The sequence below is a fragment of the Homo sapiens genome, chromosome 8 (assembly GCF_000001405.40).
Source record: "Homo sapiens chromosome 8, GRCh38.p14 Primary Assembly".
Classification (NCBI taxonomy): domain Eukaryota; kingdom Metazoa; phylum Chordata; class Mammalia; order Primates; family Hominidae; genus Homo; species Homo sapiens.
Genome location: NC_000008.11, coordinates 28,343,355 through 28,369,212, shown reverse-complemented (window position 1 = coordinate 28,369,212; position 25,858 = coordinate 28,343,355). Strand labels below are relative to the sequence as shown.

Here is a 25,858-nt window from a genome sequence, read left to right as displayed (position 1 = left end):
TCCATTCAAATGACTTTTGAGTTCCAAATAGTGTTTCTACTTTAACTTCCTAAATGAAAAAAAAAAAAAAAAAAATTGGCCAGGCACAGTGGCTCATGCCTGTAATCCCAGCACTTTGGGAGGCCGAGGTGGGCAGATCACTTGAAGCCAGGAGTTCGAGACCAGCCTGGCCAACTTGGTGAAACCCCATCTCTACCAAAAAGGCAAAAATTAGCCCGGCATGGTGGCAGGCACCTGTAATCCCAGCTACTTGGGAGGCTGAGGCAGGAGAATTGCTTGGACCTGGGAAGAGGAGGCTGCAGTGAGCCGAGATGGCGCCACTGCACCCCAACCTGGTCGACAGAGCGAGACTCTATCTCAAAAAAAAAGAGAAAGAAAAGAAAGTAGAGTCCATGTTCCTGTGTTCCTCTGCTTTCTTCAAGGAGCGAGAATGTAGGAACCCTTTTTGTCCTCTTGGGATTGGCACCTGGGGCGTTGTTAGGCTTTTAAAACTCTCACGTCTGTGTTTTATATTTTTGGAATGGCAGCTTTTTTTTTTTTTTTTAATTGGCAGCTTTTGCTTGTTGTTACTGCAAGTGCTTCCAGTAAATCCCTTCTCCATGAAACTCACTCTCTTCCTCTGGATCCCCCCAACTCACCCTCCCCAGGCCTGAGCCGCGCCTTGCTGCTGGGTCTCCACTTGTGGGGAAGAGAGAACTGGACCAGGACAGCGCGGGAAACTGACAATGCCACTGCTTGCTAGCTTTGGGATTTTGGACAAATAGGTGACCTTTTTGAACCTGTGTTCTCAGCTCTAAAATGGGGATAATGTTGTTCCTTCATATTTTATTGAGTTGCTGGGAAGTTGGGAAAGAAGAGAAGCCCCCAGCGTGTGCATTCAAGAGAGTATAAACCTGAGTGCCATTCAAGCATTTGTGGGTGCTTTGAGGTCCTGTGCAGGTCTCTTAGAAGTTTACCCTGAAGACTGCTAGAATTGCTAGTTCTGTGAGGCTTGTTCTCCCCAGGGATACTCGGCTCCTGGTTCCCTCCCTCCAGTCCTGGCTCTGGGTAAAATGCCAAGTCAGCAATCATCCATCTCCCCACCTCCTTCTGGAACTGTCATGTGGTTTGAGAACAGTTTAAATCAGGTTTAACCACACTGCACGCTGCCCCTGCCCCACCACATACATGCACGCCCCAGCGCCCCATGCATTTACAAAAACACTGCAGGACAACTGCGTCCCCTCACCCAGACATCTGTCAGCATAGTCCTGCTTATACCTGCTTCCTTCTGTCTACCTGTTTTTAAGGAAACCCTGTCTTGGAAGCAAGTTCGAATGCTCTTGATACTTTTGCCTTCATTTTAGGGCCAGCAGCAGGTATTCTTTCTTATAACACGTTTTTCTTGAATCTGGGCCTCTTCTTACCGCTGGAAGATCAGCTGTTTAAGATCAGTCTAAGGAGGCTGCAGTCCCATCGGTGCCAGTAGAGAGGGTTGTGGATTCCTGAGCCCTCACTATGTGCCAAGGAGTGTCCTAAGAGCTGTCTTGTGTAATAGGGTAGTGTGAACTCCAGAGAGTCGTGAACAAAGGCACTGCGTTTCTGAGAGCAAATGGGGAGGTAGGTGTGAAGGAAGGGGAAGTGTATTTTTTCCTGGGTAGAGCTGTGGAAACGCTTTCCTGCCAGCAGCGCAAACAGAAACAGTCTCTTTTACTTGATTGAATGACTGTTGTGCAGTCAGACCAGCAGGAATATTTGTTGATCAGGATCGTTTATTATTTGCTGGAGAGAATTTGCTGTAAGCAGATCAGATGACCTATTTTTATGGCCCATCTGCTGGAATATGAAAATAGTAGTGTTAGTTGGGAGTCCCTTCTTCCTCCTTTCCATTACTGTATTACATCTATTACTTAGAGTAATAGGAAGGCTGGATGCTCAGTTATAGGGTATGCCATCAAGAAAATACCAGCCCTGAATGGGAGTTGGACAATTATTCTGGTCCCTATCAGTCTTGATATTCTATCATTTTAATTTTACTGGTAGTCTAAACTATTCTACACTGATGCAGTGTAGTCCAGTTTTTTAAAACCTTCAGAAAAAGACAATAATTAGAATGCCCTGAGAATCCACATTGTCACACTCTGACCAGCTGATTGAGAACTTGAATCAATCACCAATATGCTCAGTGCCATGTGTCTGAAGCTTGTACTGTGAAAATCCTAAGTACACACCACACCCCTCTTAAAAATAGGGTAACAGGACCTGGTAATTCCAGAGAGCTAGAAGTTTTAAGTCACGGCTTTTGATGCTCTTGCTAAGGCCCTGGCTTTCTATTGAAAGCCAGGAGGAGTTTTCTCCTATTTCTTCAAAGAAAAGGTCCATGTATGCTTAGCGAAGTGTCTTTTTTTTTTTTTTTTTTAAACTTTCTTTGGGGAAGACATACCAGGAAAAAAAAGGCTTGAGAACCAGCCACCAGGTAGCAGTTGGGTATGGGATGGGACAGTTTGCTTCTGCCAAGGTTCAAATGGTGACCTGCAAACCAGGAGGACCATAAACATATTTGCATATACTTACAAATATGCTTGCAAGTACTCATGGCATTTGTCAGCAGAGATGTTGGCTAAGAATTGCTGAAAATGAATTCTTTGGGAATCTTGTTCTCCATGGAGTTCCATTGTGAAATAAGAGATGCAAACATTCACTGCAAACATTTTGGCCTTTGATTATTTATTTATTTAGAGCTCAGACGATCCTCCTGCCTCAGCCTCCTGAGTAGTGGAACTATAGGCGTGTACCACTATGCCCTGCAAGTTTAGAACATCACACTGAAAAACTTAAGTAAAAATGTTATAGATTTAAAGGAAAAATTGGCACTTTTCTGATAAAAGATAAAGAATGATATGGTTAAATATTAACCAAACACCTAAAAACTTAAACTGTTGTTCCTGCAGTGATACCCGGTGGAGATAATAAAATATACAGAGAGCTGAGTTTAGCAGAGAACTGAAGCTCTTGGCAGGAGGGTTTATATCCCTCAGTTGACCTATAAATTATTCATTAGAGAAGTAGCAAGCACCCACGCTTTTGCAAATAGGAGTCTTACTCCAAACTTCACCCTTCTTAAGTTAAAATAAACCCCACGAGTTGTGCAGTGAATCACTTTGACTTATGACTTGTGTTCTGGAAGTGCTGCTAGGTGATATCATAGCTCGCTGCAGTGTCCCTGGGTGGTAGGAGAGCACAGCCACCGTGCGTGTGTGTGTGCACGCACACAAGTGTGGGGGCGTGCCTACGTGTGCTGAGACATGTGGTTGTCCAGCAACAGTTACATGACAAATAGCAGTTTGCAACCCCGAACCACAGAGAGAGTTTGTTTTACTGTTCTGCCTGTTCCAGTTCCTTAACTGATGGCAGATGTCCTCATTAAGGGCTATTAGCACATCAGAATGTGTTTGCTGAGCCCAGAAAAGAACTAACTCCTTTTGGACATGGACTGAAAGATGTTATCTAGGGTAGCCAACCCCTCCTGTTGGTGACGGCAGTAGGGAGTGAGGAACACAAGAGGGCTTGGTATCCCCTTAAAACTTTCCTGAGAAGCCTTCAGCACGAGTTTGTTTCAGTCAGGGAATTCCATAAGAGGAGAATGTAAAATCATAAAGTGGGATTTGGCTGTGTGTTGAACTACTGTTATTGTTACCCGGAAATAGGTGTTTCTTGATTTCTCTTGGCTGCTCCAGAACCATATGGCAAACTAGGGGATGGCTGGTTTATAGGGACCATTGATAGCTCCCAAGAAAGAACTTACCAGAGGAGTGAATGAAGTGGAGATTCTGGAGGAGAGAGGTTGGAAGGAGGCCACCGCTGGAATGGTGGAAGTGCACCAGGTGGGCAGGACCCCCGGAGTGATTATGAGGCAGCAGGAGGTCCTGAAAAGTCACGGGCGGCCCAGAGTTAACCTTGCTCCTTGACCCACCTGTTGGCAGACCTTTGCTGATGCTGTCATTCGCTCTGAGTCCCCAAAGACCCTTGGTTACTTGTGCTGTCTATCGAGTTGCATCTGTAAATGTCATGAGTGTGCTGATTAACACAGGCGAGGCATCGAGTGATGCCTGGTGATGCTGCCCAGCCTGGATTAGTCTAGATTTGTATTTCTCCCACTTCCATCCTATTAATCCCCAGTATAAACTTGGCTAAAGTTTTCCCTGACTTTTTGGGTTGATTCCATTATCCCTTTGCGTGCCCTGCCAGAGGGCAATATGTGTATAAAGGTCTTCCCCAAACCTGAACTGCTAAATGATTAACAGTGGCTTGGGCTGCTTAACAGGGTCAGATTAAAGCGTTGACCTTTATCCTGTAGGTAAGAGGCCAAGATCCAAGTGGAGAAGAGATTTTTTCAAGGAATGAAAGTACGTGAGAAAATGGATGTGTAGACTTTTAGATCAGGAGCTATTTTTTCTTTTTATCTTTTTGAGATGGAATCTCCGCCTGTCTCCCAGGCTGGAGTGCAGTGGTGTGATCTTGGCTCACTGCAACCTCTGCCTCCTGGGTTCAAGTGATTCTTTTTTTTTTTTTTTTTTTTTGAGACGGAGTCTCACTCTATCCCCCAGGCTGGACTGCAGTGGTGCGATCTCAGCTCACTGCAACCTCTGCCTCCCGGGTTCAAGCGATTCTTGTGCTTCAGCCTCCCAAGTAGCTGCGCTTACAAGTGCACGCCACCACACCTGGCTAATTTTTGATATTTTTAGTAGAGATAGGGTTTCACCATGTTAGCCAGGCTGGTCTTGAACCTCCCGACCTCAAGTGATCTGCCTGCCTTGGCCTCCCAAAGTGTTTGGGATTACAGGCGTGAGCCACTGCACCTGTCCAGGAGCTATTTTTCCCATCAAGGTTCACTAACATAGGGAAAAAAACACCAAGTTGATGAAAATCAACTTAATTGAGTGTTTTATTTTGAGAGATCCCACACCTACTAGAATCATGGCAGGATTGTGACCTCTGACACCAGACAGACGTGAGTTCATACTCAAGGCTGCAGTTCCTAGTTGTGCAGCTTTGGCATCCTGACCTCTCTGAGGTTGTCACCTCATCAGAAATAGAAGACCATTGGTTCATCTCAGATCCTTTTGAGGATTAAATTAGATACAATTTATGAAAGCTAGTACCTCTTAGGCACTTAATAAAGACAGTTTCCCTTCCTTCTTTCTCTTCTGCTTTTAAAAATTAAGATTTGGGAGTACTATAAATAAAGCCAATGAGAAAATGTATTTTGGTGTGGAATTCTGGCCAGTTAAAGGAGAAAGGGGACAGGAGGGCTCCAGTCAGAAGTGGCAGGTTCACCAGCTCCATGCGAATCCGGCAGGCCTGGAAGGTTGCAGGCACAAACAAAATAGGCAGTAGAAAGCAGTCTTTAAATTAAAAAAAAGAATAAGGCTTACAAAAAACATCGACCGAGTTTGTTGGCCAAACATTTCAGGCGCCGTCTGAAGACTGGGAGCCCAGGAATTTGGGAAATACTACCCTTTCTTCATTTTCAGTGGTAGAAACCCCAAACTTCCTGCTCTAGAACGTGGGGAGGCCATTAGTTTTGTTTTGTTTTGTTTTGTTTTTTGGCCAAGAAAAGTGGTGCAGTTTCTTTCTCTGGGTTGATGCTGCCATCTCATGTCTCTACATGGCATTGCGACTTCACCTCTGGATCCTATCAGCCCAGTGAAATTGAACTGAGAGTTAGAGGTGCTCCATTTTAGCCTGAGGCTCCAAAGACGAAGGTATGTAGGTGACAGTGTTTTAAAAAACAGTTTAAGGCCAGGCACGGTGCCTCATGCCTGTAATCCCAGCATCTGCCTGCCTGCTGAGGCAGGCAGATGGCCTGAGCTCAGGAGTTTGAGACCACCCTGGGCAACATGATGAAAACCTGTCTCTACTAAAATACAAAATATTAGCCAGGCGTGGTAGCGCACACCTGTGGTTCCAGCTACTTGGGAGGCTGAGGTAGGAGAATTGCTTGAACCCAGGAGGCAGAGGTTGCAGTGAGCTGAGATCACGCCACTGCACTCCAGCCTGGGCAACAAAGTGAGACTCCATCTTAAAAAACAAAAAAAAAAACCCAAACAAAAAAAAAACAACCAATTTAGCTTAGGTATACATTTTTTTCTTTATAGTGGCAAAGAATCTACTCTTTACATTTGTCTCCCTTTTTATTGTTACAGTGAAGCTTTCAGCGAGAGTGTTATTGGATGTAGTTACCAGATACCTAACTAGGAATTTCTGTCTGCGTGCTGTGACTCCAACCTTTTCCTTATATTATTTTATTTGCTTTCTGGAAAATTCATGGTGGAGATACTATGCCAGTAGATTCTAACCTTGAGTTTCTGCATAAAATGCTCATGAAAACCAGCATTTTGCCCCTTTACTCAATATTTGCCAATCTATTATTATTCTTTACAATTCTTTTGCCATTTTGGTTTTGTTACTATGGAGATGTTTGCGAACATACCTTGCTGGAATGATTTGGAAAGAGGCTAGGATTTGGGAGGTGTGGAGATAGTGTGGTACCCACAGAAAGAGAGCCTGGGGGGCTTCTGGACAAGGGTGAAAAGGAAAGAAGGCTTATGCAGCTGTTCAAAGATAGCTTGAGCTAAGGGCTGTGCCACAGGTGTCTTCTTCAGGTGGGTGGGATGGGAGGGGCACACCTGAGTGGAATTAGCCCCATAGGCACTGGGGGTGGGGTAGTCAGCATTGATGCTGAGGTCCCTGGAAACCCTGGTGTTTTATACCTGCTGTGACCCCACGGCACCTGGGATGTGCTTTGCACATAATAAGCAAATGAGCGAATAGTAGGGAACAGAGGACTGGAACAGCAGAGATTAGGAACTGAGGAGCCACGTGTGCTCTGTAGGAGGAGGGCAACCTGAATTTGCAAAGCACTGGGTCTGACTCGTCCCCTTCTGCCAGCCGGGTCAGGCCTGGGAGCACTGCAGGTCAGCTGGTCCCCTGGTAGGGACCCACTTCGAGAGGCCTGTTCAGATTCTTGCACCAACTACCTTTGCCATCTGAACAAGTCACTTGTGCTCAACATCAGTGTCTTCAAGTGTAAGATGAGAGGAACCTGGTTCATTTCTTTTTTCTTTCTTTTTTTTTTTTTTGAGTCTGAGTCTTGTTGTGTTGTCCAGGCTGGAGTGCAGTGGTGTGATTTTGGCTCACTGCAGCCTCCCGCCTCCTGGGTTCAAGCAATTCTCCTGTCTCAGCATCCCGAGTAGCTGGGATTACAGGCATGTGCCACCATGCCTGGCTAATTTTGTATTTTTAGTAGAGACAGGGTTTCATGACGTTGGCCAGGCTGGTCTTGAACTCCCGACCTCAAGTGATCCATCTATCTCAGCCTCCCAAAGTGTTGGGATTACAGGCATGAGCCACCACGCCCGGCCAAGCTCGGCAAGTTTCTGTGGCTCTTTGCAGCTTTGAGCCTGCTGAGCTTGAGAATCTATGTGCATCAGACAGACGTCCTCAGGCTTTGACCGAGCAATATTGTATCCTGGAAGTTGCCCTACGGAAGCCGTGGTTGATGTGTGTGTGCTGAGGTTTAGCTCAGAGGATGCTCACTGCAGGCAGAGAAGTTTAGACAGCAGACCATTGGGTGCAGCCTTTGGGTACAATAAATAATAAGAGATTAGAATAGGAATGGTGCATCCACCTAGGAAAATGCTGAGTGGCTTCTAAACATGTTTTTATAAAATAATATTGAATGATATAGTAAAACTTACACAGTTAAGTAAAAATACAGTTTACCAAACAACAATCCCATTTTTACAGAAATAAAAGTGTAAATACATGCACAGAAGGAAGCCTGGCCTGCTGCATAGGAAGAGTGGGCCTCCCTGGGAGGCAGATTCCTCAGTGGTTTGCTTTTCCGATTGTCCTACTAGGAATGGATATCACTTTTGTAAAAGGGAAGGATGCTAGAAGTTGACTTTAAAGGGTTCACTTATTTTAGTAGACCCTTCCTGGCTCCTGCTGTGTGGGGCTCCCTCCTGAAAGCTTCCTGATTCCCCCAGGTGATGGGCAGAGGCTTCAGTGTCCCCTTCGCCTCCGCAGGAGAGGAGAGGCAGCAGCATGGCGAGTGTCCTGTCCCGACGCCTTGGAAAGCGGTCCCTCCTGGGAGCCCGGGTGTTGGGACCCAGTGCCTCGGAGGGGCCCTCGGCTGCCCCACCCTCGGAGCCACTGCTAGAAGGGGCCGCTCCCCAGCCTTTCACCACCTCTGATGACACCCCCTGCCAGGAGCAGCCCAAGGAAGTCCTTAAGGCTCCCAGCACCTCGGGCCTTCAGCAGGTGGCCTTTCAGCCTGGGCAGAAGGTAGGTTGATCCCAACATGGACAGGTGTCCCGTCTTGCCAGTCTTGGGGTAGGGGGCTGGGGTGCCCTAGTGACAGGCCGGAAACTCTCTGGGCACCGTTTTGAGTGCAGACCTTTGCCCTCCAGCCACAGGGCACCTGGGCAGCAGATCGCCCAAGAGAATATGACATTGTTAGTAGACCCAGGGCTTCTCTACCACAGTGTTGTCTGTAGAAGGTGGCAAGACCTAGCATCAGACGCTGTGGGCTTTGGCTTGCTCAAAACCTCAGTTTGAAGGATGACCATAACCACGTTTCTCTTAATCTGTCTCAGTTTGCAACTTTAGCAAAGGAAGGCATCTCAGGCTTATGAGAATCAGAGAACATTGCATCTTTGAATTCCCTTTAGACACTTTTAAGACTCAGAGATGTTTGTGTAGTTGGATTCGGTGTGGATTTCCTTTTCCAGCATCCCTGCCCCTGTGCCAGGGCCCTGGGTCTGATGTTATGAGGTCCAGGTGCCTGGGGTTCTCTTCTGTTGCCCTCTCAAGGCCTCCTAAATGAGGACTCTACCTCTGGCTCCCTGCCAAGGCTTGTGCCTCCAGGCCTCCCTGCCTGTGAGAGAAGGTGGCCTGCCAACTTCCAGGTCCCCCTGTTGAGAGGTTGGCCTGTCTCTGCACCCCTGCCACCTTGTCCCCAGGTAGACTCAGCATCCTTTGAGTGCAGGATAATGAGCAATTCAGAGTGGCAGTTGGGCACCAGCAGACAGGCAGTGCATCCGGGTCAAGGAAGGCAGGATGATGAGCACAGATTCTAGATTCAGAGAAAGTCCCAGAAACTGACATGTTTGCTGTCTGCCAGTCTAGAGAGCTGATAAGGATCTGTCTTGGGAGGAATTGGGCCTGTGTGGGTGCTCAGGTGGGAAGCGAGTACCTGGGAACATCTGCTTGAATAAAAGATGAGTGAGGCAGAGAACATGGTTTGTGGCAGGCAGATCCTGGCTCCTGGGACGTGGGGTGCATGAGAACTTCAGGGCGAGACCCATCCAGGGCTGACCACTAACTGCTGTCCCTCTTCCCACAGGTTTATGTGTGGTACGGGGGTCAAGAGTGCACAGGACTGGTGGAGCAGCACAGCTGGATGGAGGGTCAGGTGACCGTCTGGCTGCTGGAGCAGAAGCTGCAGGTCTGCTGCAGGGTGGAGGAGGTGTGGCTGGCAGAGCTGCAGGGCCCCTGTCCCCAGGCACCACCCCTGGAGCCCGGAGCCCAGGCCCTGGCCTACAGGCCCGTCTCCAGGAACATCGATGTCCCAAAGAGGTTTGTGTGGGAGAAGAAACTGGGTTTTAAAAGTCACGTGGGTAGTGTGGTGTAAGGGTGTGGGCTGTGTTGTGGTGGGGAAGAAATGTGGTGTCATTGGCATCTGGGTGCCAAGATATTGGGACAAATGGGACACAGAAAAGGGGAATCTTTTAAGAAAACCAGAGTGGCATCTTTTCTTTCTTTTTTTGAGACGGAGTCTCACTCTCTCACCTAGGCTGGAGTTCAGTGGCATGATCTCGGCTCACTGCAACCTCTGCCTCCTGTGTTCACGCGATTCTTCCACTTCAGCCTCCCGAGTAACTGGGATTACAGGCGTGCACCACCACGCCTGGCTAATTTTTGTATTTTTTGGTAGAGATGGGGTTTCACCATATTTATTGGTCAGGCTGGTCTCAAACTCCCGACCTCTGGTGATCCACCTGCCTTGGCCTCCCAACGTGCTGGGATTACAGGTTTGAGCCACCATGCCTGGCCGAGTGGCGTCTTTTCTTTTCCATAGCTCTATTATGGGCAATGTACCTTTGGTTGGGCATAGGGCTATTTTTTCCCCTCTCATGCTTAAACTGAATCAGGTCATAGTTTATGATAAGAGACAGGGAAGAACTGGCTTAAATCGAGAGTCAACAAACTTGTTTTGAATGGGCCAAAGAGTAAATAATTTAGGCTTGATGGACTACACAGTCTCTGTCCCCACTGCTCAGCTCTGCTGTGGTGTCCAAACAGCCAGGGGTGATGCAGAAACAAATGGGCATGGCCGTCCTCCAATAAAACCTCATTCATGGACCCTCAAATTTTAGTTTTATATACTTTCCATGTGTCACATGTCAAGAAATTATATCCTTCTTTTAATTTTTAAAACTATTTAGGCCAGGCGCAGTGGCTCACACCTGTAACTCCACCACTTTGGGAAGATTGCTTGAGGCTGGGAGTTTGAGACCAGCCTGGGCAACATAGGGAAACTTTGACTCTACAAAAAAATAAAAAAATTAGTCAGGTATGGTGGCTTTTGCCTGTAGTCCCAGCTACTTAGGAAGCTGAGGCAGGAGGATTGCTGGAGTCCAGGTGGTTGAGGCTTCAGTGAGCAATGATGGCACCACTGCACTCCAGCCTGGGAGACAGAGCAAGACTCTGCTCTAAAAACAAAAACCAAACCAAACCAAACCAAAAAACAAACAAACAGGCTGAGTGTGGTGGCTCACGCCTGTAATCCCAGCCCTTTGGGAGACGAAGGTGGGTGGATCACGTGAGGTCAGGAGTTTGAGACCAGCCTGGCCAACATGATGAAACCCCGTCTCTACTGAAAATAGAAAAATTAGCTGGGCATGGTGGCGCATGCCTGTAATCCCAGCTACTTGGGAGGCTGTGGTATGAGAACTGCTTGAAGCCAACCTGGGTGACAGAGTGAGACTGCATCTCAAAAAAAAAAAAAAAAAAAAAGAAAAAAAAGAAAAAAACCCACAAAACAAAACCATTTAAAAATGTAAAACCATTCTTAGCTTGAAACCCTACAGAAACAAGCAGCAGGCTACATTGGGTCCACAGCCTGCAGCATGCTTACCCCTGGCTTAGATATTCAGAACCACTGGTGAATGAAGAATGTATTTTGCTTTAGAATTTTGTGATACAACTTTTTTCTAAGAATATATATCCTAATTTCTATGTTATATGCTGTATGTACATTGATCTTTTAAGATTTAAAAGGAAAATCTGTCGACTGAAATTGTCTTATATACAAGATGTGCAAGCAGTCACACCCTATCCCACCTCTCTGTGTTTGTCTATGAGTGCGAAAAAACACAGCAGACCCAGTATTTTGAAACCAAATTAGAGCAGCAATATTTGTGATAGTGTATTCAGTGGAATGCAGGTAAAGAATTTATTTTTCTGTTCTATGGAAATGAAAATTCAAAGATCATACAAAAACAGAGGTGCTAATGTGTTTCACGTTTTAATAGTCTTGGTTTAGCTGCTTCAAACCCAAGTCATATTTTGGCGGACCTGAATTGTAAGGAATAAATTAAGACAGCTTTTTGAAACAGACCACTTAGAAGTTTATTTCAGACTAACTTTTACTAATACTTTAGCATTAACTTGTAGACAGCTCTAGTTTTACTTCCAAATAATGTAGTGATATACGGATTTTTAAAAAATTATGTGTAACATTTTATAGAACTCTGCTGTATAAAGCATGGACACTTGCATTGGGAGATTTATTTTAGTGCTTCTGGTTTATTTGCACATTGGCTTGGGTAGTAGGTTCTGTTGACATTCAGAAGCTGTCAGAATGCCTTACCATTTTTCTTGGGGGAGGGGTGGGAGAAGGTGGTTAGTGTATAATTGTTCCCTCTTAAATTTAAATATGGGACAAGGAAAGGAGGTAATTGTTGTGCTTTTGAATTCCAGTGGGCATCTTTTGTCCTCGTGTTCATTTCGAGTCTATCCTCTTTCCCCTAAATAAAATTCTCCTTTTTTTAAGCTGCAGAGTTCAGCAGCAAAGTCATGGGAGAATGGGGCTGTCTCAGGGCGTCACAGTGGGATGAGACCCAGCGGCTTATACCGGGGCTGCCTAATATTAGAAGCATCACTCAGAATGGGTACTGCTCAGGAAGAAGGGGAGACCTTCATGTTTCACTGAGTTTATATGATCTGAGCACACACTGGCTGATTGGAGTTGGGGGCACTTGGAGGGGACAGTCCAGAAGTGTAAGATGATTGTGTGAAACCAGCCAGAAGTGGTGTCTCGTTTTGCAAGGACCATGGGCCCGCCATGCCAGGAAGTAACATTTCCCACTCATCCGTGTGAATCCAGGAAGTCGGACGCAGTGGAAATGGATGAGATGATGGCGGCCATGGTGCTGACGTCCCTGTCCTGCAGCCCTGTTGTACAGAGTCCTCCCGGGACCGAGGCCAACTTCTCTGGTGAGCAAGCGGGGCCCAGCTGGGTTCTGGGCATGGTAGAGGCCCACGACAAACATCCTCTGTGCAGAGCAGCTAGTTGCCTATGTCACCAGCCTGGCAATAGAATGTCCAGGGACACCTCCCACTGGCACCTCTGACCGGCTGCATGCCATGGAGTTAGATGCTTCCGTTCTTTTTCCTCAGTTTCCTCACCTGGGGAGGAGTTTCCTGGTACATTGTGAAGATGGTTGAGCATGGGACTGAGCTGCAGTGGCCAGTGGAGTAAGTTCTTCAATGGGAGTGGCTGAGCCCAGCACTTTGGTGGGGTCTGAATGAGGCCAATAGAGGAATATTTAGTTCACAAAGTAGCAATATGCTAAATGGTCTCCTAGTGGCCTCAGAAAATTCATGCCCTCATTCCACGTGCCTAATTCAGCCTCATAAATTAGTGTGGGCCTATGGGACAAGGACCCGGAATAAATGAGCTAAATTCTAAAGTAAATCTAATTGCTTAATAAAAACCAGTGATTCAACTTCAAGGCAAATTTATTAAAACAAAATTGCTATAGTTGCAACCCCAAAATACTTTATCAATAATATGAGGGAAAAAAGGGTTGCTGAGTATTTGTCAGTAGTTTGGCAAGACTGGTAGTGAACCTGAAGTTTTTTGGGAAATTCATGGCAGGGCTGGCCTACCCTACTCCCAGGGAAGAACTTCTTCATTGGTGGACACCTAACTGAATTGCAAGCTACTTATAAACTTACAGGAAAATATGGAGTTAGCTCTGAGCACATAGCAGGAGGAAAGTGGCCTTCATAAGTATCCCTCATAAGGAATCTCCCTAAATAGAAATTAAACATAAAGGAGAGAGAAAACTTACTTTCTTGACTCAAAGTCAGCTGTCAATGACTAGGCTGCCAAAGGAAGTCATTGCATTATGAGGACACCTAGCTGTGAAGCTTAGTATTGCATGCCTGCTCTATTAGCGCAGCCAAATAGGGAAGAGGAAAGGAGTTAATTTCTAAGTTCTCAGGAGAGTTTAGGAGATCTGGATGGTTGGGTTAACAGTGGAAAGATCTAGGAAAGTGTCCTAAAGAAAGAAAAGAAAATTATTGACTCCAGTTCCCATCATGAGGGTATGTATAATACATGCATACACAAGTGCACATCAACGTAGAAGCATCTCACTGATGATATGCCATCATCCTGACAATTTTAAGTCCCTTTGTAAAAAAAAAAAAAAAATTGTCTATTAAATTTTTTTTGATGACAGTATATTTTTTATCTTATAGCTGAAGTCAGTGGAAATATAAGGCTTCCTTGGCCTAATTATCTTGAAGTATTCTGCAAAGTGTGGTCTATACAACAACCAAAACCTTGACTAAGAGAGTCGTAGATACTATTTGCACAAATGCCACATAGTCCCTTTGGTTTCTGTGTGGTTAGGATGGCATGTGTGTGTGCATGTCTATGTATAGAAAACAGGATTATAAATATTTCTTAAAAGTTCACTTGTAAGCTCTGAGTGCCGTGCATTTGTAGAGCAGTACTTTATTTTCATGGTATAGAAAGTGTATTTATTGCCTGTGTCCTAGAAAAACTTATGATCAAAGATGGAGTCACAACTTACACATTAACTTATAACTTATAGATAACGTTTTGCTTTATGTTTTGCTTTCTTTGTGTGCCAGTCAAAATCTGCCATGCAGATTTCATGCATTTGAGCCATTGTGAGTGGTTCCTATAGGGAAGGGCTACCGCATTTGTAGGGTGTGCCTGCTGCTTGACCTGCTCTTTGTCCCGGAGTCCTGAGCATCCTAGATGTTGCCATGTAGTATTCTGCTCACTGCCCTTCTCTCCCTGATCGTTTTCCTATCAGTGGATGTGCGTGGGTCTTTCACCTGTTGGCCTGTTTAATGATTCTTGTCTTCTGCCCTGAAGGTGTACCCTTTTTTAAGCACACATGTACATGTAGTAATCTCTTGGTTCCCAGGAAGGGACAGTGATAGCTGTGAGACATGACAACAGTATCTGGGCAGGGAAGAGTTCTTCCTCCATCTCATTCTTTTTGGGTGGGCTGCTTCTAGGATGTGAGATGTAAGGAGAGCCTGGACTAGAAACATGGAAAGATGGGAGCCTGTGCCGGGTAGATCCCTGATTAGCATTGAAGGAGTCTGGACTATGAGCAAGAGGAGAGAAAGGCAGCAGGATTTTATCCTGGCCACAAGGGATGTGCTAGTAGACCTTGGAATCCAGGGTTAGGGGGCTCTGTGGAACGCCCCTGTTGGGAGTTGGGGCTTTTGAGGACAGGTAGCTTTTTTCCCTCTCTCTTGGTATTTCCACATATCAGAATTTCAGATTCTTCTATATTATAAATTCACCTGGATTTTTGGCCAAGGAGTGAGAGTCTGGGTTGGGCCCATGCAGCCTGCAGATGTGCTGTTTAAAAACGGAAGATTCTCCATGTCTGCTGATGCCCGTCCTCCTGCTCAGAGGCATTCAGGAGCCCAGCAGCTGCTTCAGGGCCATGTCAGGCACGAAAGCCCCCTGCCACCTTGCGATGACCAGAATTGCTCGCAGAGCTTGTCTTTCCTCCTCCAAACATGTTACTTCTTGATTAAAGCAGGTTCCACCTGGGCTGCAGCTAGCACTGGGAAATGTTGTGCACCCTCCTGAGAGTTGCAAAGGCTGAGTTGTTTGTTCCACCCACAGGTTTCTATGGACTGGCCTGGGTTTAGATGATTGAAGAGCATTTTTCAGGAAAGCTGGTCAAGAAGACCTTTAAGTTGGCGTCAGCTGTAGGAAAATGCTCTGGGTGGTACCCAACACTCTGGGTGTGCCTGTTCTCAACCAGGCCTGGAGGCTGCAGAGGCTTTGCCCTTCCCCCTCCCCATCCCCCCTTTATTTAATGTATAAAGTGAGAAACAGGCAGCACTTTGGGAGGCTGAGGCCAGAGGATCGCTTGAGGATAGGAGTTTGAGACCGGCCTGGGCAACATAGCAAGACCCCATCTCTAAAAAAAAATTTTTGTTTAAAAAGAGAAATTTCAGTTAGGTTTCTCTTTGTATGAATCCTATACAAAGCAAACTTGCAGTGTGTATCTGTTGGTCAGTGATGACCAGGTGGCTATGGTAGGAAATGTCTGCGAGGGTAGAGCAGTTCTACCAAGAGAAATTGCTGCCATGAATGAACTCCTCTCCATGTTTACCGAAGCTCAGAAGGGAGAGTTTGCCCAGGGACACGCCCGTGAGCGTCCTCTCATCTTTTCTTCATCTGGCCAGCTTCCCGTGCGGCCTGCGACCCATGGAAGGAGAGTGGTGACATCTCGGACAGCGGCAGCAGCACTACCAGCGGTCACTGGAGTGGGAGCAGTGGTGTCTCCACCCCCTCGCCCCCCCACCCCCAGGCCAGCCCCAAGTATTTGGGGGATGCTTTTGGTTCTCCCCAAACTGATCATGGCTTTGAGACCGATCCTGACCCTTTCCTGCTGGACGAACCAGCTCCACGAAAAAGAAAGGTACGTGATTGTGGTGTGAGTGGGAGCCCAGGCTGGAGCGGATGATGTCTGTGTGGGGACAGCCAGCCGTGGAGAGCAGGGGACCCTGCAGGCCCTAGATAGTCTTGGGTTCACTCCCATTTCGGTTTTTTATTGCTGCTTCTGTTACCTGGTGATATTCCCAGGATTCTCCTTCTCCTATTTAAAGCCTCTTCTGTTTTAGCCTCCACCCCAATCCCTGCCTTCTTTCCTGTGTTTCTGCAGAGGTCTGCGTGGGAGAGGCCTCCAGTAGGGTCTTAGCCACAGCATGGAGCACTGCTGTTGGCCACTAGGACCATCTCTTAGATTGGGGCTTTCTAGCCCCTGGTTGTAAGTTTCTCTGGTCCCAGAGAACCCCTTTCCTGGAGGTTTTTGTTGGGTCAGGCCGGGGACAGCAGCCAGTTTGAGTCCCCACTGGGTAAGGTTGAGCGAGGGATAAGGAGAAAGACATATCCACTCACCCTGTCTTCCTTTCCTGTAGAACTCTGTGAAGGTGATGTACAAGTGCCTGTGGCCAAACTGTGGCAAAGTTCTGCGCTCCATTGTGGGCATCAAACGACACGTCAAAGCCCTCCATCTGGGGTATGTGCGAGCCCAGGGCCTCTAGCCTAGGGTCGCGTGTGGGTGTCCCTCCACCCTGCCGAGTCCCTGTGACCCACAGCCCACAGTGCTTTCAGGAACGTGGCTTGCTGGGAACACCCCCTGGTGTCTCTTCCTGGCCCCCTGAGAAAGACATCCTGGTGAACATTGTTGCTGTTGATGGGAAGGGAGCTCTGTCCATCTTGGGGATGTGTCTTCTTGCCTCATTGCAGGAAGCAAGATGTTTTAGTTCTGGGTAGAAACGGGGTCATTTGGTTTAGTTGCTGGTGAGACCCCGTTTCCAAGATGTTTAGTGGCCAAGCACTGCACCACCCACTCTTCCTTGGGAGTGGGTCTCCGCTAGCCCCACCCTGGTGCCTCCGCCGTGTTCTGTGCAGAGCGAGTTTGCAGGCTGCTAGTGGTAGGAGCTGACTCATGGCCCTGGGGGAGAAAGCGTGACTGCAGGCAGGTGGGGCCCAGAGAGGGCTCGTGGTCGTGCTCAGTGTGGGATGCCTCCTGCCAGAGGAGAGGTTGGCACATGTTCCGGGAGAGAATGAGCCTTAGGTGCCAGGAAAAATAATTCCCGTTGATGTGCAACACATAATCCTGGTGACACCCGTCAGGAGCGAGGCACCTGGGTGTTCTCTTGGGCTCCGTCCCTGGCTTGCTGGGTGGCCTCAAGCAATCACTTCCCTCCCTACCGCGGTCCCCGCTGGGTTTGAAGGGGGCAGGGTGCCCCTGATTATACCGCATCTCCCTCCCACACAGGGACACAGTGGACTCTGATCAGTTCAAGCGGGAGGAGGATTTCTACTACACAGAGGTGCAGCTGAAGGAGGAATCTGCTGCTGCTGCTGCTGCTGCTGCCGCAGGCACCCCAGTCCCTGGGACTCCCACCTCCGAGCCAGCTCCCACCCCCAGCATGACTGGCCTGCCTCTGTCTGCTCTTCCACCACCTCTGCACAAAGCCCAGTCCTCCGGCCCAGAACATCCTGGCCCGGAGTCCTCCCTGCCCTCAGGGGCTCTCAGCAAGTCAGCTCCTGGGTCCTTCTGGCACATTCAGGCAGATCATGCATACCAGGTATGGGGCGGGGCTCGCTGGAGGCTCAGGCTCATAGCTGACTCATCACGGGCCAGCTTGATTACAGGCTACCGACCACCCTGATGGAAGGCTGAGCCCTTTGGCCAAATTGCTAATCTCTTCTACAAGGAAACAAAAGGAAACCGAATTCACTGCTCAATAAATGTGGGAATTCCTGGAGTTATCTACATTGGCAGCTGTCATGAGTGGTTACTAGGAATCTAGCTAAATCCCTAAGTAACTGGGCGATGGATTTGGGTGGGGGAATTGTCACACCTCTGCTTATAAGAGAGGATGGAGTCGTGTAGTTGGGCTTCCCACGTGACGTCTAGGTCCTAGAATTGTGTTCTGTGGACAGACAGTCCAGCACGCATGTTTTGAATACTTCCTGCGGGCCAAGAATTGGACTAAGTAAGACTTTCAGGTTGAAGAAGGCTTAGTCCCTGCCCTTGTGGAGGGCATGGTTCAGATTGAGAGAGAAATGAATATGTAACTATGGTTAATTATAATAACCAGTCAAAGTACTAATTACTAGAGGCATGAGAAGGTGTTGTAGGTACCAGAGGGACCAACCTATTTTGCCCTTGTGGATGAGAAACTTATCACAGAGGGTGATATTTAGGATGGTCTTCGCTGCATGTAGTAGGTACTCAAGGAACATGCAGCTTGCTGTGTGCTGATATTTCTTAAAATTCTTTTGTGCCTATTTTATCAGTCTGTGGGCCAATTTGCAAATTAGTTATTAAAAGGTATTGCTTTCAGTGAGAAAGCTTTATGAAATGGGCCAGCCCTCCTCCTTGTTAGAATGAGTGGCCGCTTAGCGATTTCATGTTTGGCCCACTTGGAGCTGTGGCTGACCTATGGGGCCCAGACATGTAGCTGGTGTTTTCACAAATAGCCCTGAACCTGGATACCCATGAGCACACTACTACTCTCAAGCAGTTGCTGGAAGATCCCATATCTTATCCCAGCCATGCCCCCTAGACGCAGAAGGCTTGGGGCCTCTTTTGGCACGTGCCATGGCATGTTCTTGGTAGGTGATCCAGTTGAGAAGTTAAATCTTCTGCGGTGATTAAGTCATGAGGCTAGCACGTAGACCAGCGCTGAGGGAAGGGTTCCAGGATGAGATTGGAGCCTCGCAATAAGGAGACTACTGCAAGGCATTGGATGATACTCCAGTGTTGTCCTCGAGAAAGCCGAGTGTGTCCCAGCTCTTTCTGGTCATTGCACTTACGCAGAGATGCACCTTCTGCTGCTGTCATGAGGCTGTGGGGATTGTGGGCAGACTCTGAACACTTCCTGAGCTAGAATCCGGGCTGACACCCTCGTCTTCCGCAGGCTCTGCCATCCTTCCAGATCCCAGTCTCACCACACATCTACACCAGTGTCAGCTGGGCTGCTGCCCCCTCCGCCGCCTGCTCTCTCTCTCCGGTGAGTGTGCGGGCAGCACGGCTGGGGCCTCGTATGGCCGAGGGCTCTCCCACACATCCCAGGGCTGGAGGCCATCCCTTGGGCACGGGGCACGTGGCCACAGGTCGGTGTGGCCATCTTGCTTTCAGCCCCCAAACGTGTTGAAGATGTCCTTGTGCTGCCCCCTCCCTGGCACTCCCCATCTGGCCATAGCCCCTCGCGGAGGTGGAAGGAGGCGCTTGTAGAGGATGTCCAGAGCAAGCAGGTTTCTTGCCAAGAAAATCACCAGGCGAGGCTGGGGTCAGTTGCCCCATCAGCTCCTAGTGCCCGTGGGTGTTTTTAGGATTTTAATGCTGAGGAGAGGAAGGGGGAGAATGTGGAGGCTGTGTGGGCTGGGTCAGAAATCTCAAGGCCACTGGAGACAAGGGCCATAGGTGGACCCCCAACTCAAGTAAGCGGGAAGTCATTTTGAACTCTACCTAGCAGGCGCTGGTCTTGAGTTATCTCCTGCAGGGCGGTGTCACACTGTAAATCAGATTGCCAGTGATGCCACTGAGGCAGTGTGAGGCTTCCAGGCATAGCGGCTCCGTCTAAGTCCCCTGCAGGAGAGCCTCAGAGGGGGCCAGGTCCAGTGGCTCCCCTGTCCTTGTCCTTGGCTGGGTCCTGAGTGTGGCATGAAGGCCTGCTCCTTCCTCACTCTCCTGCCAAGAGCTCCCCTCGGCTGGAGTGTTCTCCCTGAGAAGGTGCGAGGCCTTCTGCACCAGGAGCTGGGGACGGGTGGCTGCCTGTCTTTTAGGATAGCTCCCTCACCTTTCCTGAATGTCCCTGTGCTCACAGCCCCTCTCCCCACGCCCAGGTCCGGAGCCGGTCGCTAAGCTTCAGCGAGCCCCAGCAGCCAGCACCTGCGATGAAATCTCATCTGATCGTCACTTCTCCACCCCGGGCCCAGAGTGGTGCCAGGTGAGATGTCCGCTGTCGTCCCCTGCCTTCTGGTTTCTGTGCCCTGTCTCCAGTGGCGTGGACTCCGACCCCACCCAGATGAAGTCACCAGGGTTAGTCCCCAGAGAGGAGCCCAGATGGCGGATGCACCAGATGGGATGACTGTTTGGTCCTCAGAGCCTCTGGCCCCTGGTCCTGGTGACTTTTGCCGGGAGCTGCCCCTTTGGCCTCTGCTTGTTCTCCCAGCCCCACTTGGCCACTCTCCTGGGCCCACCACCTGTGTGGGGCTCGATTTGCATTCCTCTCTTTCTGCAGGAAAGCCCGAGGGGAGGCTAAGAAGTGCCGCAAGGTGTATGGCATCGAGCACCGGGACCAGTGGTGCACGGCCTGCCGGTGGAAGAAGGCCTGCCAGCGCTTTCTGGACTGAGCTGTGCTGCAGGTTCTACTCTGTTCCTGGCCCTGCCGGCAGCCACTGACAAGAGGCCAGTGTGTCACCAGCCCTCAGCAGAAACCGAAAGAGAAAGAACGGAAACACGGAGTTTGGGCTCTGTTGGCTAAGGTGTAACACTTAAAGCAATTTTCTCCCATTGTGCGAACATTTTATTTTTTAAAAAAAAGAAACAAAAATATTTTTCCCCCTAAAATAGGAGAGAGCCAAAACTGACCAAGGCTATTCAGCAGTGAACCAGTGACCAAAGAATTAATTACCCTCCGTTTCCCACATCCCCACTCTCTAGGGGATTAGCTTGTGCGTGTCAAAAGAAGGAACAGCTCGTTCTGCTTCCTGCTGAGTCGGTGAATTCTTTGCTTTCTAAACTCTTCCAGAAAGGACTGTGAGCAAGATGAATTTACTTTTCTTAAAAAAAAAAAAAAAAAAAAAAAAAAAGAGTTTCTGGCTGATGGGTGACTCAGAGTGCAGGACTGCCTGGCCGTGGGGCAGAGGGGTTTGCCCTTCTCGGAGGGTACCTCCTGTTCCCTGTCTGAGCATCCTGCATGGAAGTCAAAGGAAATCCCTTTCTTGGTGACGACTTAAATCTGGGTTCCCTCAGACATTGGGTTGCACCCCAACAAATATTAAATGGCTTCTTCTTAAAGCCCAGAGAAAGAGGTTTTTTAAAAGACTGTCGCCAAATAGCTGAGCCAAAAGGCTGATCAGAATTCACTTTTTGGAATGTGGCAGTTAAACACTACCTTGATCATTCTCTCCTCTTTCCTCGAGGAACTCCTGGAGGGTTTGAGCGTCTGGAAACTCTCTGCTCTGACCCGAGGAAGCACCCTCCTGACGCCGCCTTCCTCCGGTTATTGAAAGGACGCCTCAGAAATGCTTTGTTTTCTTTTACGATGTATTCAGAAGCCTTTACTGATTAAAGTTTTCTTTTATTTGGGTGGCCGGGAGAGACCCAGGGAGGTTCTGGAGGTTCCTTTCTGTCTCCTGGCCCCACCAGGGATTTCCCCATTTCTGTTTGCTGCCTGAAAGCAGGATGAGGAAGGCCAAGGAGAGTCCTTGCACCCGTGAGCGTCAGGATGAGGAAATGACAGGAGGAAGACGTGGGTTTGGGTTAGTGGCTGCTGGCGTTTTGGCCCTTGGTGTTTCTGGAGCCTCCAGGGATCTAGGGGAGCCTGGGCTGCGTGCATGTCGATAAGCAGAGCTGTTCTTGGGGAGAAGGAGGGAGGTCTCGGGAGTGTAGCACCATGCCAACCAGCCCTGCGCGAAGACAGAGTGAGCCACGCCCGGATGGCAGGGCATGTTTCTGTTTTGGTGTCTCACTTTCCTCCCAGCGTGACTTATTTGGGGATTCCTCAGGGCCTACTGGAATGTGACTGCCCACTGCCCAGCTGCCTCGGGTACAAGTCCTGGCCCTATGTCCCAGCTGTCAGGGGCTCAGGGAATCCTACCCAGCCACCTGTCCTGGGATGGAGTGTCAGCATCCACCCCTTGGTTGTCATCGAGGCCGCCCTCCCAGTCCTGGGTGAAGATATTTGGGCCACCAGGGCTCCCTTGGCCCCTTCACGTAGGAAATAGACACGTGCTTTTTAATGCAGGACACTTTGAGTGTTACAAAATCTGTAGACCTGGCAGTAGGGTCATGATGTTGGGAAGGGTGTAGTGCCCTAGGTTGGTGACAGAAGGGACAGACACTTGTGCACAGGTGTCTTTGGTGATGGGGTTTTTTTTTTTATAACTTAGTAAAAAAAAAAAAATGTATGTGGAATTCTGTCTCTTGGTAAAGCTCAAAGCCAGGCTAGCCTGAGGTGGCGCAGGGCTCTCCTTCCTGTCCCTTCGATCTCCTTGAGAATTAAGAGCTGGCAGCTGCTGATGGTGTTTCCCAACCCCCCTCACTTCCCAAGACAACCCCCAGCTTCAGGTCCTCATGGGGAGGGGAGGGCACGTTCTTGACACATGGGAACTTCGCTCAGGAGGGCCTCCCCTTCCCCTCTCCCTCAGAGTTTTCACTGCCGTCTCGTCTTTAGAAAGCTGTTTGAATTCCCCCCGCCCCCAGTTTGGACCGTGTAGATATAACTGGATATACGGATTTTTCTCTTTGTGCAGGCTTCTTATGCCGTTGGTATACAGGGCAGGAAAGAGAGGAATAAAGGGAGAGAGCAGTGTGGAAACCACGGTGGTTTTGCTTTGTTCTTACTAGGTTTTGGTGCCACCTTCCCTGCCTGCGCTTGTGCCCCCTCTCCTCCTTGGCACTGGCGGCCTCCTTGCCTCCCTTCCACCCGTGCTGCCATCCCGTGCCTGTCGTGTTGGTTCTTCACACGTGCTCTGTTCTCGGGGTTGTTCCATTCATGCCTTCTTGGAGGGTGAGGGTGGCTTGGGAACCGACCCAGTGATCATGCCTACTTTCTTCTTTGTATCTCCCTCCTTCCCAGCCCACCCGGGCAGCAGACTCTGATGGAAGGAAGGTGCCGTAGGTGGGCTTTTAGAAACTAACGGGACTGGTTTTCAAAGCAGTTATCTTGGGAAACTGTTTATTCCAGCGATGTGACTTTTTTCAGAATATTTCTTGGAATCATATTCAGAGTCTGGGGCTGTGTGTTGAGCAGCCTTAAGGATGCTAGACACTCATTTAGTGCCCAGGGAGTCCAGCGAATGACGTCTGTGGCCAAGCGAGGTCTCAGGTGCAAAGCAAAAGGACCATTTAAAGTAAAATAGCTTGGATTCAATCATGTGACTTTTAAATTGGCTCAGAAAGCAATTTTGTAATTTCAGAGAGTGTTTTGAGCCATGGCCACGTTGTCATTGTGAGTCTATAGCTTGACTCCTTGGAGAACAATATTCATTTGGTTGTGGAGACTGATTTGCTGGGAGAAATCTGTCCTGTTACTTTCTGGTCATCCCAGGTTCTGACTTTTACCAGGGGCAAAAAAAAAAAAAGCAAGAGGGAGATAAATCCCATCTGTGAGTTTGTCTTATTGGCGCCTTTTTCCTCAGCTGTCTTCCAAGTATTATTTTTACTGTTAAAAAATTTTTTAAAAATGTGAAATGTAATGTTTTTACAGCAACAATATGAAATATATTTTATAAGGAATAAAATGGTACCTTGTCTGATTTAATGTGTGCCTGTCCTTTGCCCCTTCCCTTGCAACAAATAAGATTATCACTGTCCTTGTCCTTGGTGTTACACAAATGGTAGCATATCACACTGTAGCAAAGTATGACGTTGATTCACTTATACTAACAGTAGGTAACGCTTCCCAATGACTAGGCCAAGTGTATACATGGGTTCCCTATTATAAATAACCCTATGAGAGAGTGCTGTTATTGTTCCCATTTTGCAGATGAGAAGAGTGAGGCACAGAGGTTCAATAACTTGCTCAAGGTTATAAACTGGGAAATAACAGCACTCCAGGCAGCATTTTCTGCTGCTTTTCTTGACAAAGGGGAGCATATTCTTGACTGCATTCCTGAGTCTTTTGAGGAGCAAGCAAGTGACATGGGAGAAAATAAAGTCACACGCTACCTATCAAATGGCTTCTGAACATGGTCTGCTCCATACAGACATCAGTTCCAGGTGCTGCGATGGCCCAAGTGGCTGGCAGAGCTGGCCTAGGTGGGAAGGCTGTTGGAAGCAGAAGGCGTCATTCCACCCAGGGGCTGGTTTGTGCAATTTCAGTTGCTGAATTTTAAGAACCACTTAGTGAAGCAATGATAGATTCCAAGAAGACCAAGTCAAATAAACCAGGCTTGCTTGAGGAAGTTGTGGAAATGTGTTTAAACGTTTAAGGTATATTTAAAATAAGAGTTCGAGGTGGTGGTGGGGCAGGTGGAAGGCCCCACAGGATCTTTTCCGCACTGAGTCATCTGGTGGGGAGAAGCAGGAGCTATAGGAAGAGGCTCTGGGGAATAGGGAAGGCAAAGAGGCAGGAGCTTTGGGGATTGTGAAGTGTCTCTTGGGGCGGGTTGCAGGGACCCTTCACATTGCTGGCCAGTGGGGGTGTCATGCCCAGGCACTTCATTATGGCCTGAGTCAGCCACGCCCAGCAGCCCACAAAGCAGTTTCTTTTTCCCTCCTTTTGGCCTTTTTTTTAATATCTTGGGGGTGCAGTCAGGGACTTCCTTCTCCCCTTCTCTGTGTCCTTGTTCCAGCTCATCCCTCTAAGAACACCTCGAATAGAATTACCTGTTCTACTGCGTTTACCAAGTCCCCCTCCAAGTTAGCTACCTGCCTTCTCCATCTGTAGCTCACCCCCTACCCCTACCTTCGCAGCTGCATCAGTGGATCGACCCCCCAACTTTCCAGCTTCTGGTTGGATTTGGCTGACAGACATCAGGCTGGAGTTTGAAAGTGGGGGTATTGAATCCTGGCTCCCACAGTGTGTGAGTAAATGGCTGTATTTCTCTACTGAAAGCTATGGAGAGCTAGAGTCCTTGTGGGTCCAGGAACTCCCTTACCCCTACCAGGGCTCTCCGGCTCCCAACAGAGCACCTTTCCATCCCTTGCTGATCTTCTGTAACCCTGCCCATTCGTGTAGACGGTTAACTCTCCCCGACAGACTCGGTTTGGTTTGCCTCGTGTTTCTCGGCTGGACTCTGGCAGTGACACACCCTAACGTGGGAAGCTGGAGATAAAAGTGGCATCAGCAGGTTTCTCTCCGCCCTGCTCCTTGCTGTGTGTCCCAGTCCATTGGACCCAAACCAGCAGGATCTGCACCACCTGGAGCTTGGTAAAAAGGCAGATTTCTACCATCTGAAACTGGGGGTGGGGCCAGCAGCCTGCCTCTCTGCGGTGCTGATGCACGCAGGGGTTTGGAGAGCCCCTGCCCTCTCTCCACCCTGTCCGTTCACACAGCCATGTGCATTCATTCCCCCACCTGTTGCACTCGGATCTGGGCACTGTGCCGTCGGGGTGCACCTTGCCCATTCTCTCTTTTTTTTTTGAGACTGAGTCTTGCTCTGTCTCCCAGGCTGGAGTGCAATGGCACAATCTTGGCTCACTGCAACCTCTGCCTCCCGAGTTCAAGTGATTCTCCTGTCTCAGCCTCCTGTGTAGCTGGGATTACAGGCACGTGCCACCACGCCTGGCTAATTTTTTATATCTTTAGAAGAGACAGGGTTTCACCATGTTGGCCAGGCTGGTCTTGAACCCCTGACCTCATGATCCACCCGCCTCAGCCTCCCAAAGTGCTGGGATTATAGGCGTGAGCCACTGAGCCCAGCCTGCCTATCCTCCTTTCTACACAGCAGTGCCATGCGCTTTTTACCTCTGCCTCCCGGGAGCGGCAGCGCTGGTTGTGTGTGTGCAGAGTCTGCTTCTGTCACTTCACTTAAAAACAGCAAACCAAT

General features: G+C 48.6%; 1 protein-coding gene across 1 annotated transcript in view, besides 9 other annotated features; it reads left to right on the top strand.

Annotated features, from left to right (window-relative positions):
- The window catches only part of ZNF395 (zinc finger protein 395), a 40,871-nt gene extending 17,248 nt beyond the window's left edge, over positions 1-23,623 (top strand). Inside the window, exons 2-10 of the mRNA NM_018660.3 lie at positions 8,031-8,328; positions 9,389-9,621; positions 12,434-12,543; positions 15,805-16,040; positions 16,540-16,640; positions 17,406-17,718; positions 19,057-19,149; positions 19,985-20,088; positions 20,383-23,623. Of these exons, the coding sequence (NP_061130.1) occupies positions 8,089-8,328; positions 9,389-9,621; positions 12,434-12,543; positions 15,805-16,040; positions 16,540-16,640; positions 17,406-17,718; positions 19,057-19,149; positions 19,985-20,088; positions 20,383-20,494 (1,542 nt within the window). The 5' untranslated portion in view covers positions 8,031-8,088 and the 3' untranslated portion in view covers positions 20,495-23,623. The remainder of the gene's footprint in view (positions 1-8,030; positions 8,329-9,388; positions 9,622-12,433; positions 12,544-15,804; positions 16,041-16,539; positions 16,641-17,405; positions 17,719-19,056; positions 19,150-19,984; positions 20,089-20,382) is intronic.
- Positions 2,935-3,264: an enhancer, noted in NCBI's record as "active region_27168". NCBI's record gives its function as "activates an Ori minimal core promoter by ATAC-STARR-seq in GM12878 lymphoblastoid cells {active_cell/tissue: GM12878}" and the evidence as "EXISTENCE:reporter gene assay evidence [ECO:0000049][PMID:35858748]".
- Positions 3,284-3,784: an enhancer, noted in NCBI's record as "H3K4me1 hESC enhancer chr8:28222946-28223446 (GRCh37/hg19 assembly coordinates)". NCBI's record gives its function as "activates a minimal SCP1, AML or CMV promoter by ChIP-STARR-seq in naive H9 embryonic stem cells {active_cell/tissue: H9 hESC(naive)}" and the evidence as "EXISTENCE:reporter gene assay evidence [ECO:0000049][PMID:30033119]".
- Positions 5,411-5,600: an enhancer, noted in NCBI's record as "active region_27167". NCBI's record gives its function as "activates an Ori minimal core promoter by ATAC-STARR-seq in GM12878 lymphoblastoid cells {active_cell/tissue: GM12878}" and the evidence as "EXISTENCE:reporter gene assay evidence [ECO:0000049][PMID:35858748]".
- Positions 8,971-9,471: an enhancer, noted in NCBI's record as "H3K4me1 hESC enhancer chr8:28217259-28217759 (GRCh37/hg19 assembly coordinates)". NCBI's record gives its function as "activates a minimal SCP1, AML or CMV promoter by ChIP-STARR-seq in naive H9 embryonic stem cells {active_cell/tissue: H9 hESC(naive)}" and the evidence as "EXISTENCE:reporter gene assay evidence [ECO:0000049][PMID:30033119]".
- Positions 9,472-9,972: an enhancer, noted in NCBI's record as "H3K4me1 hESC enhancer chr8:28216758-28217258 (GRCh37/hg19 assembly coordinates)". NCBI's record gives its function as "activates a minimal SCP1, AML or CMV promoter by ChIP-STARR-seq in naive H9 embryonic stem cells {active_cell/tissue: H9 hESC(naive)}" and the evidence as "EXISTENCE:reporter gene assay evidence [ECO:0000049][PMID:30033119]".
- Positions 19,792-20,351: an enhancer, noted in NCBI's record as "H3K27ac-H3K4me1 hESC enhancer chr8:28206379-28206938 (GRCh37/hg19 assembly coordinates)". NCBI's record gives its function as "activates a minimal SCP1, AML or CMV promoter by ChIP-STARR-seq in naive H9 embryonic stem cells {active_cell/tissue: H9 hESC(naive)}" and the evidence as "EXISTENCE:reporter gene assay evidence [ECO:0000049][PMID:30033119]".
- Positions 20,352-20,911: an enhancer, noted in NCBI's record as "H3K27ac-H3K4me1 hESC enhancer chr8:28205819-28206378 (GRCh37/hg19 assembly coordinates)". NCBI's record gives its function as "activates a minimal SCP1, AML or CMV promoter by ChIP-STARR-seq in naive H9 embryonic stem cells {active_cell/tissue: H9 hESC(naive)}" and the evidence as "EXISTENCE:reporter gene assay evidence [ECO:0000049][PMID:30033119]".
- Positions 22,800-23,300: an enhancer, noted in NCBI's record as "H3K4me1 hESC enhancer chr8:28203430-28203930 (GRCh37/hg19 assembly coordinates)". NCBI's record gives its function as "activates a minimal SCP1, AML or CMV promoter by ChIP-STARR-seq in naive H9 embryonic stem cells {active_cell/tissue: H9 hESC(naive)}" and the evidence as "EXISTENCE:reporter gene assay evidence [ECO:0000049][PMID:30033119]".
- Positions 25,276-25,843: an enhancer, noted in NCBI's record as "H3K4me1 hESC enhancer chr8:28200887-28201454 (GRCh37/hg19 assembly coordinates)". NCBI's record gives its function as "activates a minimal SCP1, AML or CMV promoter by ChIP-STARR-seq in primed H9 embryonic stem cells {active_cell/tissue: H9 hESC(primed)}" and the evidence as "EXISTENCE:reporter gene assay evidence [ECO:0000049][PMID:30033119]".